The 12,963-nt window shown below is 40.5% G+C and overlaps 1 protein-coding gene across 1 annotated transcript in view; it reads right to left on the reverse strand.

The window, feature by feature from the left end:
- The window catches only part of AGPAT4 (1-acylglycerol-3-phosphate O-acyltransferase 4), a 144,095-nt gene extending 141,540 nt beyond the window's left edge, over positions 1-2,555 (reverse strand). Inside the window, exon 1 of the mRNA NM_020133.3 lies at positions 2,432-2,555. The gene's annotated coding sequence lies outside the window, so the exon portion shown is untranslated. The remainder of the gene's footprint in view (positions 1-2,431) is intronic.
- Positions 2,556-12,963: the final 10,408 nt, after the last annotated feature.

Below are 12,963 nucleotides of genomic sequence, written 5' to 3' on the forward strand. Positions count from 1 at the left end.
TCCCAATAAAATGACGGCTGACTCACCCTCTGGGTGTCACCTCTGTCAGCCTCTTCCATGGGACCCTACGTTTACTTTATACTCACAGCTCCACTTACCTTCCCTAGGCCAAAGCTGCTAACTGCTTTAACCTCTACTCAGCATCTGAATATCAGACAGTGTTTTGTTTGTTTATTGGGTTTGGGTTTTTTGTTGTTTTTGTTTTGGCTGTGCTTCTGAGGAAGTCTTGCTCTTTTTCCTTTCAGTTCTATTCCATTAGGCTTTTTGCTGTGAAATTTTGAATCTGGAAACTCAAGAGAACCGACATCGCAGACTTTGATTTACATGCTGTCAATCTGCTTTGGAAGGTCATGTGGCAAATCTGCCCTTGAGGACCATTTTCAGACAGGAAAAACAGTAATTTCAGCCTGGCTGCTTTTCAGAATTCTTTGCAAACATCAGATGCTCACAATCCAACCGTTTCTCTGTGTACTAACATGTGCTTTTCAAAATGAGTGTCATATTCTTTTTAGTAATACTTTTCTGTGTGTTATGCCCTTTAAATAGTTCTCGTCTTTAACTCCATGTGGCTCTGGTTTGTTTTGTGCCATGCTATTTTGCCCCATTTTCAGGTAACTTTTCTACCTGAATTACTTAGGACCTCTGGATTTATAGCAGATTTGATAAGACATAGATGATAGCATATTTAGATAAGGATCACAGCAAACAGAACCTCACTGAAACCACCCATTCTTCCTGCTTCCACATGGCAGGGTTGCTCAAGGTTTATAAGTAATGATTTTGGCTTTAGCAGCCGGAAGGTATGAGGGCTAAGTGACCTTCACACATGTTTATCTTAAATTATAGATAATTTTAAGAGTCATGAATGGGATTACTACTTATCTATTTTATAAAAGCTAATTATTTGGGATGCCCATCAGAAGAATGGTATCCCTTATCAAACGCTTCCTTAGACGTACTGAATAAAAGCATCAGTTTAGCCGGTACCTGTTAAGAGGCTATGTCTTTCTAAGAGATGTGTTATTTGATTCTAATTATAATTAACTTTGCTTATTACTAAGTAGATAATAATTTTCTCATTTCATATTTTTTCTGAATAACAGTTTTTCTCCCCATAGAGAATATTCAGAAGATGGAATCCTTTTAACGTAGAACTCAAGATGTGCCCTGTTCTCCCTGCCCGCCTCCCATTTCCCTAAACACACACACACACACACACACACACAAACACACACATTCTCCCTTCTCTCAAGATACTTTTTTTCCAACTGAGAGTCGTTGACTAATCACAGATGAGTTAATCCTTCCACAGTTTTGAAAAAGTCTAGCAACCCTCACCTTGAAGAGAGTGAATAGCGTGGCTAATCCATCTAAGAACAATGCACGAAAACGAAAAACGGAGAATCCTGCCCGGCAGTTAATTTGTTACTCATACTTGTTGAACTTAAGATTTGGAGCTAAATAAGTGCAGATGAGAGCAAAGACCCATCTTTTAAATATTTAAGCTTTTAGGCAAACCTGGGCAGGCAATATCACATTTATCAGTGCGAATTCTCCAATGCTCTCTAAAACTTTATTTCAATGATCTCACCTCCTGTAAGGAATTAATTCCCCCTTAGCTTGACCACAGGATCAATATCTTATCTTAAGAAGTGTTTAGGTTTTCTAAAAAAAGACCAGACACTGAAGACTTACATAAACATCAAAGCATTCTTTTTTTAATTCCTCGATATGGAGAAATTCATAGGCCGAAAATTAGGTAAATAGAGAGGTAATTACCAATGCCTGTTTCCTTGACAACTCCCCTCCCCCACCCCTCCTGTGATAGGGAAAAACCAAAATGAAAGTGAGGAGGGGTAGCCACAAGCCATGCTGGATTTTAGCAAACCAAAGCAAGAAGCAGAGCAGAAAGCTGCAAACTAGACACAAAATACAAATAAATCAATGTATATCGGGGCTGCATATTGTGTAGTATTTTTGTGGTTGCCATAGAAACGTCAGCGACGGAAGAACATGTTGCATGACACAAAAGAGAGCAATATGTAATAGGAACATTCCCCCCACCACCACCCCCCGCCCAGCTTCGTCTATAGCAGAGAAAATGCTTTAGCCCCGGGAGGGGGCTGGGTGGGTGGGTAAATGAAGCCAGGAACAGCAGCTTGAAATCACAGCCCAGAAAGGGACGCTCACCCGGCCCAGCACAAAGCGAGGGTCCTTTTGTACCAGCAGAGCCTCTCTTCGCCTCCCTCCAGGCGCCCCCTGCACCTTTCCCCCGCCCGCCTTGCACTCCCCCCCCGCCCCCGGAGCCTACCCCTTCCAGAGGTCCTAAGGAAATCCAGCCCAGGAGAGAAAAATATGCTGGGAAGAGGAATGCAAACATCAGCCACACCCAGCGGGGAAGGTGCCTGCGAACGGCACCAGGACCACATACCTCCTTCCTGGCAGCCTTTGGCACATGGACTTAGAAACCAGAAGCTGAGATGGAGCCGGCTGGGTTCAGAAATTGCCACTAGTTTATAAGAGCTGTAAGTCAGCCAACACTGGAAAGAAAAAGCGAGACTCCACCCATGGGGTGGACCCTTCAGGAAGAAAAAAAAAAAAAAAGTGGTCCTCAGCTGACGTCTCTCCCCACCCATGTCACTTCCTTTTAAAGCTACAAGTTAGCAGTTGCCGAGAGGGAAGAGCGAGCTGGTGTAATATGAGTCACTCCCTTCCCCTTCCAATTAGTGTAAGGCAGTGCTTCAGTTGGCTTCACGTTTGAAATCGCTTTTGAAATCTGGCTCGGGAAGCTGCCAGGATAAAAAAAAAATGAAAGCCCCCTGGAAGTGGCCTTGCTTTCTCTCCCCTTTCTCCCAAATCCTGTTGCATCCCTGCGCCCTAACGGCTCCTCTAACCTCAACCCAGACTCCGGCTCCGTCTGTGTTGCAACCTGGAAATTGTCCTCAGTTGGCTCATTTTTAATTCAGCAAGCGTAGGATCAATATGCCCACCCTCAAAACTCTCCCCTCACCTCTCCTCGGTCCGCTGTGCTGGAAGGAGATTGCGTTGCACTCAGAAGAGTCCAAATCATCTTAAACAAAATAAGCCTCAGCACTCAAGAGATTGAGATGTTATGAAGTGGGATGAAAGAAGCTTGGAGGTCGATTGATGTATTTTCTGTTTTCAAACCTTAGCACCATGGTTGATTACCACTGCACAGGCGTGCACACACGTACTGTCGCATGCTCACATGCACGTGGCATTTACACAGGTGTATCAGAGAGGGTCTGGGCAGACCTTTATAGTAAAAGTGTCTTCACAATTTTTAAAAAGGGTGGGCTGTTGAAAGTCCAGAAATGCCAGGATCTAGAAAATTATTTCAATTTCAAAATACTGAGGTGTATTCCTTTCAAATGTCCACTATTACAGCCATTGTCAAAATAATATTTAACTATTTACTTGACTCCTGGGTTAACCTTGTTCTTTAGATGTTTATAATCTATAAAGGAAAAATACATGTGCTCACAAATAGCCCAAGCACATTGCAGAATTACTAACAGCTATGCAAGTGTCAAAACCAGTGTGTCATGAAGACAGAATAGAAAGTGCTTTTTTGATTGCGATGGGGGAAGGCATTGATCATTCAGGAAACAGGGTTTGGAGTGGGTCCTATGGGAGGTGGCATTTTTCTTGTCTGTGATGAGAGACGGGGAGAGTGAAGCAGAATGTGGTGGAAGAGAAAGGATATGTGAGGCAAACAAAAAAAGGATCAGAACAGAAACCCATTTGTAGCAATAACTTGTTTTAATATCCATGTGAAAATAAATTTGACCACAGAGTAATGCTTATAAAAGATTTTTATAAAAAGTTCCTTGTAGTCATCATCTCTCGTAACTTTTCGAACTATGTTTTACGACCCATGTGCTTCTAGATTTGGTGGAAACTTGAGTTTTTCAAAGTGTTTTTCAAGTAGAGTTACACTGTTTTTCACGGTTGAATTCTGAATGGTAATTTATTTCAAAACCTACAAATTGCATAAATTCCTGATAATGTTATAAGTACAGTCAGTGATTTCAGTGGAAATGATAGGAAATTTAAAATTTGGACAATTGTAACTTTTATCCTGATCTCAGTACTTTAACATCCTCATTCCATTATTACATTACAATTATTATTATACTTATTATTGCTAACACTTTGCCTGTCTAGACAATGTTGCTCAGTCCCAGTTATCTCAGATATAGCTGAGAAATATGGGAGAAAAAGTTACTATTTCTAAAAATTTAACATAGAAATTCAAAATTCATGGATTAAATCCTATGCTTTTTTTTTTGAGACAGAGTCTTGCTCTGTTGCCCAGGCTGGAGTGCAATGATACGATCTCAGCTCACTGCAACCTCCACCTCCTGTGTTCAAGCAATTCTCGTGCTGCAGCCTCCCAAATAGCTGGGATTACAGACATACACTACCACACCCAGCTGATTTTTTGTGTTTTTGGTTGAGACGAAGTTTCACCATGTTGCCCAGGCTGGTCTCTAACTCCTGACCTCAGGTGATCCACCTCCACCTCCCAAAGTGCTGTGATTACAGGCAGGGAGTCACCACGCCCAGCCCTATGCACATTATTGAGTGCCATTTAGAGTCTATCCTTATGTGCCCTTATTTAGCTATTTCTATCTATACAAGGAATTGTGAATATTTCCAGGTCACAACGTAACAACTCAGTTCAATGTATGTTTATTGAGCATCCATGTTAGTTGCTGAAGATACAAAAACACAGATAAGACATGGAAATGGCCCCAAAGTGCTCAAAGTCTTAGAAGGGAAAGCGAAATGTAAACAGTTAAGACACAATGGAGGCAATGATTGACATTTGTACAAGATTCAGAGGTGGTTCGAGAATGGGAAAAGGAGAGGGAGGATACATCTACATAGTTTCTTAGCTAACAGTGGACTCTAAAAGGGGTGGAGGTGGACAGTATACTCATCCGTGAGATGGTAAGAAATAAATACTGGCAGTTGGAGAGAGGAGAAAAAAATTGAAAAGGAGACACAAATCATAAATTGGTAACCTAAAAAAGATATATAAGTGGTCCGTAAACAAAGAGGCAACCTTACATAAAAATACAAGTCACAAAGTAAGGATGTTATTTCTTTGCCTAGTCACTTGTCCAACACTCAAAAAGCTAGAACGTGCAGTGCAGAGAATGCAATGCCATGGGTTCTCTCTTCTGCTGGTGATGGCAAATTGATACAATCTCTGGAATTCAATTAAAGAAGATTTTTCATGAGCCTTTAAAATGTTCATACCCCTTAATCCAATAATTCGACTCAGAATAATTTATACCAAGGACATAAGCAGAGATAAATTCAAAGATTTGGGAACATGTATATTCATCAGAGCCATTTATAATAGTAAAGTCTGGAAACCATCTGAGTGTTTGAAGTAGCAGGTTAGCTATGGAAATGATGTAATCTTCATATGATGAAACACTCTACAAAAAATTAAAATTCTGTGTTTGAAAGACCTAGGGAAATTCATGGTATCTTAAGTGTAAAGGGAACTAAGCTTTATATAAATTATGGTCCCGTTTTCGTGATTCTATAAATATATATTACAGTGTGTGTAGTGGGTTGAATAAGTGTCCCCCAGTGTCCCCCACAAATTCATGTTCACCCAGAACCTCACAATATGAATTTGTTTAGAAACAGAGTCTTTGCAGATGTTAATCAGCTGAGACGAAGTCATTCTGGATTAGGATGGGCTATAGACCCAATACCTGGTGTCCTTATAAAAAGAGGAGAGGATGCAGAAAGACACACACATAGAATAAGGCCATGTGATGGCGGAGGTAGAGATGGGAATGATGTGTCTATGAATCAAAGATTGCTGGCAAACACCAGAAACCAGGAGAGACGCATGGAACAGACTCTCTGAGAGCCTCCAGAAGGACCCAACCCTGCTGATGCCTTAATTTTAGATTCCTGGCCTCGTGAACTGTAAGAGAATAAATTTCTGTTGTTTTAAGTCACACAGTTTGTGCTAATTTGTGATGGCAGCTCTGGGAAACTTAATGCAGTGTGATGAAGATCATGAAACTGTTAATAATCATTACTTCTGGAGAGTGAGATTGAGGATGATTTTTATTTGCTTCTTTATATGTGATTGCACTTTGGAGAACTTTCTACAATGGATGAACACGTGTGACTTTTACAGTAACAAGATTAGGACTAAAAACCAAATAACCTAGGTTTCTGAAACTGTTTCTGCAATTTAGAACAGACATAAACAATAATCAGTGATGCTTACGACACGGTGAGTCCTGAGGAGTAACATATTTTCAAAGCCCAGTGAGAGGTAGAATTCTGCATATCTCAGAAACTTCTTTAAACCTAAGTTTTGGTACTTAAAATGATAACTATCACTTATCTGAAATGTGAACTTACACACTATGTATTAACTGTTGTGCTAGATAGTGGAGTCACTGATGGCATTGTTACAAATTGCCCATTCTGTTAGCACAATGTTATTACACATTAACAGTATTTTTGCTTTATTTCCACTTGCCTCGTGTTGTGAACATTGATACAACATCCACACAAACCTATACACTGAGTTTAAAAATGTTCTCAAGTTATACAATATGAAGATATAGATTTGCAACTATGATGACCTCATTATGTGCTACATTGGAAATTGTGGCTGCTTAGAGGAGACAAAGGAAAATTGTAAATGCTAAAGTTAATTTGATATTTGGGGTCTATAATCTTATATTTAATAGTTATATATGTCAATAAAAACCCAATAAAGTTCTTAAAATGTTGTATGTTTTTATGACCAACAAACTCTTACGGCTCTCGTTATTATTACAATCATTTCAAGTACGATCAAAGAGGTGTAACATTAATATCATTGGGGAAAGTGCAGAGGAACTAAGAAAAATTTCCTCCTTTGCCAACAATGGTTATGACCTAAGTTATTCCCATAAGATGGATGTATTTACAGAACCTTCGTTTCTATTGATTAGCTCTCAATGAATCTTAACACTGAATTTTATGCTAAAAATTGTTCTTGATATTTACTTGGCTTTTTTCTCTTATTGCCATCTTCAGGTCAATTCAGCCCGCCTGAGATGGCCCCAGAAAGCCACCCACTACCCTGTCCTGAATTCAGGCAATGAGCAACTTGAAATCATACGATACAGAAGCAAATCTACCACAACAGAAGGAACTGAATTCAAATCAATTAACGCATAACTGATTGGCAACAAATTGAAAAAGATACCAGTTTCACAACCTGATTTTAAAAGACAAGGTAATACGATGCCAATACTGAAACCTAGCACTTGTATTCTTCATAGCCAAGTGACAATAGAGCACATTAGTTCAAGTGGTATGAAACTTGGGATGATTTTTACTGTCATTGCATGGTATGTGATTTTTTTTTTTTTTTTTTTTTTTTTTGAGACGGAGTCTCGCTGTCGCCCAGGCTGGAGTGCAGTGGCGCGATCTCGGCTCACTGCAAGCTCCACCTCCTGGGTTCACGCCATTCTCCCGCCGCAGCCTCCCCAGTAGCTGGGACTACAGGCGCCCGCCACCACGCCCGGCTAATTTTTTGTATTTTTAGTAGAGACGGGGTTTCACCGTGTTAGCCAGGATAGTCTCGATCTCCTGACCTCGTGATCCGCCCTCCTCGGCCTCCCAAAGTGCTGGGATTACAGGCGTGAGCCACCGCGCCCGGCCTATGTGATTTTTTTAAGAACAATTTTCGTAAGCATGCATTACTTTTACAAACAGAAAACTAAAGCTATATTTGTACCAGCCTGGGCAACATGGCAAAACCCTGTCTTTACAGAAAACACAAAAATTAGCCAACCATGGTGGTGCACACCTGTAGTCCCAGCTACTTGGGGGACCGAGGCAGGAGGATACCTGAGCCCTGGAGGTCGGGGCTGCAGTGAGCTGTGTTCATGCCACAGCACTCCAGCCTAGGTGACAAAGTAAGACCCTGTTTCAAAAAAAGAAAAAGCTATATTTATTTTCTAAAATAAGTATTTATTGTTATCCATTGTTGACATAATGCTTTTCTTTATTTGGTAGTTGTTATAGCTTACAGCATGATGGCACCTTGGAGGGTGGCCTAATTGGAGTGCGATCCTGAGCCAGCAGCATCAGTATCACCTAGGAACTTGTTGGAAATGCAGAGTCTCAGGCCCCACCCCAGGTCTGGTGAATACATACTGCATTTTAACAACATCCCCAGAAGATTCACTAAAGTTTGAGAAGTACTCGTGTCAATCCAAATCCCTCATTTAACAGAGGAGGGATCAGAGCCAGGGAGGCTGGGTTTGCCTGTCCAGGGTCACACAAGTAACAGGAAGCAGCGCTGAACCAGACTCAGTGTTTAATGATTCTCACCACAGAATTCTTTCCACTGTATTTCCTAGGATTTCAGATCCAAAGGCAAGGCTGAAACAAAATTCTATTAACATGAAAGAGTAAAAAGACAATTTCTACTTAAACTCATGATCATTCTACGAAGTGTCATTGAAAGTCCATCTGTAGTACATGCGTTTTGAGTTTATATAGAGAGAGTCAGTTTTACACCCAAAAAATAGCACTGAAATTAGGCAACTATCAGACAAAAGTTGGCAGAAGGTATAGGAGATCTTTTCTCCAGGATCGCTCATTTTATCTTGGTTTAAAGCCAAAGCTATGTCTAGTTCAATGAAACTTAGCTTCAAGATTGATTTGCAAGAGAGGCAGCAGAAAAGAAAAGGATCCCAGCTGGCCTCCGTGTCTCTGTTCTTGCCCCCTCCAGTCTGCTTCTCACCCACAGCCTTTGCAAAAGTGAGTTTTGCAAAACAAAAATGAGAACATGCTGCTCTCCTCTCTGAATTTGGGTACCCCGAGAGTCCCCTGTATTCTTATAATAAATTTTACCATTAAGCTAGCTTTGTCATTTGCAACCAGAGTCCTAATTCTTAAGTTTTGGAGACTCAACGTTCCTTATACACAAAATTCATGGGTCTAGTTGTGATGTTCAAATGAGACAGAATGTGTGAAGCACCAGAAATAATGTAGAACCTCAAAAAATGACCACTCTTTCCTCCTCCCTTCACCCCATCCATTAATATACAGGTAACTTTCAGATCTATATTTCCAGTTGGCATTTTTTCCCTAAACCTCAGACAGTTATCCAATAACCTGGTAAATATCTTCATTTATCTGTCCCAAAGGAAGCTCAAATTGAACAAGTCCAAAAACAAACCTTTGGCCCCAACTTGGCCAGTTCTCTGAGGTCCAATTTCCCAACTTTCTAGTTCCACACTTTGGTGCAACTGATGACTTTGAAGTTATCTTCTATTCTTCCCTGTTCCTCTTGCTTCTTTTCCCCCCACCAACCCCTAAAGCATCCTATTAATTCTCTTCCCTCACAGCCCTCAAAGCATCCTGTTAATTCTCTTCTCAAAGATATTTCTCCAAAGTCCTCTCCTCTCACCACCACTGCTCCTGGGTTAGTACAGGGCCCCTCTACTCTTGAATGACTTCAAAGAAACCTCTTCTTCTACTTTTTATTTCAGGAGAAAAGTCAAATTATTTAGAATGACATGCAAGATGTTTCATGATCTGGCTCTCTCTCTCTCTCTCTCTCTCTCTAGTTTCATCTCTTATCTCTTTCCATACTGTCTGAGTCCGTTTTTCACTGCTATAACCGGTTACTACAGACTGGATCACTTATAAAGAACAGGGGTTTACTTGGCTCACAGTTCTAGAGACTGCGAAGTCCAAGAGCATGGCATTGCATCTGGGAGAGTAAACCCATGGCAAAGGTATCACATTGTAAGGAAGCATGCACGAGAGACAGAGAGAAAATGAGGACCAAACTTATCCTTTTATCAGTATCCCACTCCCGTGATAGCAAACCCACTCCCTCAAAACAGCATTAATCCATTTGTGAGACCATAGCCCTCATGACCTAATCACCTCTTCAAGGTCCCACCTTCCAGTTCTGTTACATTGCCAGTTAAATGTCAACATGAATTTTGGTGGGAAAGTTCACATCACAGCACATACTTTTCCAAGGACCACCCTTACCTCACCCCTCATCAGTTAGCTAACCTCCCACAGCCTTTAAGACTATCTTACCATCTGCTCTAGGAAGCCCAACTCCTGTCAAAGATAGTGTTGCCTTGTATTAATCTCTATTAATGCATTTCACACAATGGGATTTAATTGATTGTTTTTATATGTTTATTCCCTACTAGTTTGTGAGGGCAAGATACTTGTTTTCAAAGATCTGGAACAATAGAGTCCAATAAATGCTAATTAAATGAATGAACATTATCACTTGCATCTCTTTTTTTTTTTTTTTTTGGTGAGACAGGGCCTTTCTCTGTTGCCCAGGCTGGAGTGCAGTGGCACAATCATGGCTCACTGCAGCCTTGATTTCCTCAGCCCAAGCAATCATCCCTCCTCAGCCTCCTGAGTAGCTGGGACTACAAATGTGAGCCAACATGCCTGGCTAATTTTTAAATTTTGTTTTTGTAGAGACAAGGACTCACCATGTTGCCCAGTCATGTCTCGAACTCCTGGGCTCAAGTGATCCTGCTGCCTTGGCCTCTGAAATTGCTGGGATTACAGGTGTGAGCCACTGCACCCAGCTGTGTCACCTTTTACCAGGGGCAGTTGGGACATTCTCTTTCCACTCCTATAACTCAAATGAGTTTCTTTTAGACATCACTTTTATTCTTGGTTTTTATATATTATACGTACATTTAAGGAAAAGTTTTAAGTCTCCATAAAATCATCTTTCTCCTTTTTCTTTATCACATTCTTTTCTAGTCTTTGTTTATATGCATGCATATTTTATTTAGCTATAATCATAGTGGATATAGAAAATTGTTACCGTATTTTTACCTAGCACAACCTAAACACATTAACTTATCAGAACTGTCCTAATTATCTTCTCGATGTTTTTCAAGTACTCTACCTACTTAGCATATAGTATTTTTTTTAATTGTCCTCCTGTGGGATATTGCGCGTGGCCAGCCTTCACCTACTGCGGCTCATTCTTCAATGGCACTTGCTTCTATGTACTGGGCACTAAGCACTTTGTGTCAGATATATTTTTTTTTCTATTTTATAAATGAGGACCTGAAGCTTAGCTTTGTTTAGTCACTTCCTCCAGGTTAGCTAGTAAATATCAGAGGCAGGATTTCAAGTCAAGTGTGCCTAACTCAGAAGATCATATTCTTTACCTCTATAGTATACCACCATGACAACACACACATTTTTCTTCTTTTGGTTAAATTTCTAAGATGAAGTCCCAGAAGAAGAGGGTTTTGTGACTAATTACATGCACTACTGAATGTACCAATACTCGTCACCACTTTGCTAATGCCTTGAAAATGTTTTGAAAATTTTACAATTTTGATGAACATCAATTTTAATTTTTGTACCTTACATATGAAGTTTAAGGTCTTTCAAAGTGTTTATCTATCTTATCATTTACATTTATTATTGTGTAAAACCTATTCTTATTCTTTACTTATTTATTTATTTATTTATTGGAGATGGAGTCTCACTCTGTCACCCAAGCTAGAGTGCAGCGGTGTGATCTCGACTCACTGCAACCTCCACCTCCTAGCTTCAAGCAATTCTCCTGCCTCAGCCTCCCAAGTAGCTGGGATGACAGGCACGAGCCACAGCACCCAGCCACCAGCAAACTTTAGAAAAGATGGTCAACCTCACTTGAACACATCCATCAGAATGATTCAAATACAGAAGATGAAATACACCAGCTGTGGCAGGAATATGAAGCAACTGGAGTTCACATTTCTGGAGCAAAGAAAAGGAATGCAACTTGTGTGGGAAAGTCATGCAATGGGTTCTCCTAAAGTTGAAGATAGGCATACCTGTGACCTGGCACTTCCACATTTAAGCACACACCATTATAAATAGCACTGGGCCAGGCTCTATGGCTGATGCCTGTCATCCCAGCACTTGGGAGGCTAAAGCAGGCAGATCACTTGAGGTCAGGAGTTCAAGACCAGCCTGGCCAACATGGCAAAAACCCATCTCTACTAAAAATACAAATAAAATTAGCTGGGCATTGTGGCGCATGCCTGTAATCCCAGCTACTCGGGAGGCTGACGCAGGAGAATCGCTTGAACCCAGGAAGCAGAGGTTGTGGTAAGCTGAGATCGTGCCACTGCACTCCAGCCTGGGCGACAGAGTGCAAACAACTGCAAACAAACTGATATTCATAAAAACTAGAACAAGTAAATAAATTGTGGTATACTTATGCTATAAGACACTACTCAGCAATGAAAATGAATAAAACTCAGCTAAATGCAACAACATGAAAAAATATCACAAATATAATTTGGACCCAAAGAAGCTAGACACCAAAAATTATCACTCTATGATTCCAAGAGAAGTTTAAAACTGGGGACGATGAGTCTATGTGTCAAGATAATGTTACAAATCTCTGTGGTTACCTTTGGAGATGCAGGTGGGGTGGGGAGTGGGAGGGGTAGGAAGGGGACTTCGGAGGTGCTGTAATATTCTCCTTCTTGTTTGGGGTTGTCATCACATGCTGTATGCACTTTGGGGAAATTCATTGATATGTGTACACTTATGGTCTGTGCCCTTTTTTGTATTCATGTGATTTCAATAAAAAAGCTAAAAAGAAAAATTATTCACTCCAACTTCTCCATCTGTTGTCCAAGAGAAAACTCTAGATCTCCCTCCAAAACAACAGATTTTAGTCTCTCCCAGTCCCATACTAATTTTGAAATGTATTTCTCTTTATTCAGGTTACCCAGGAATGAAATTGATTCTAGCTTTGGTTTCTGAAAAGGGCTTCATGAACACTGTCACAGGTAAGCCTGGCCTATGTGATATGACTGGCATACACTATAATAGTTTGCATTTGTTGAGACAACCTTTGCCATTATTCTGTTTTTTTTTTTCACCTGG

Source organism: Homo sapiens, chromosome 6 (assembly GCF_000001405.40).
Source record: "Homo sapiens chromosome 6, GRCh38.p14 Primary Assembly".
NCBI classification, from domain to species: domain Eukaryota; kingdom Metazoa; phylum Chordata; class Mammalia; order Primates; family Hominidae; genus Homo; species Homo sapiens.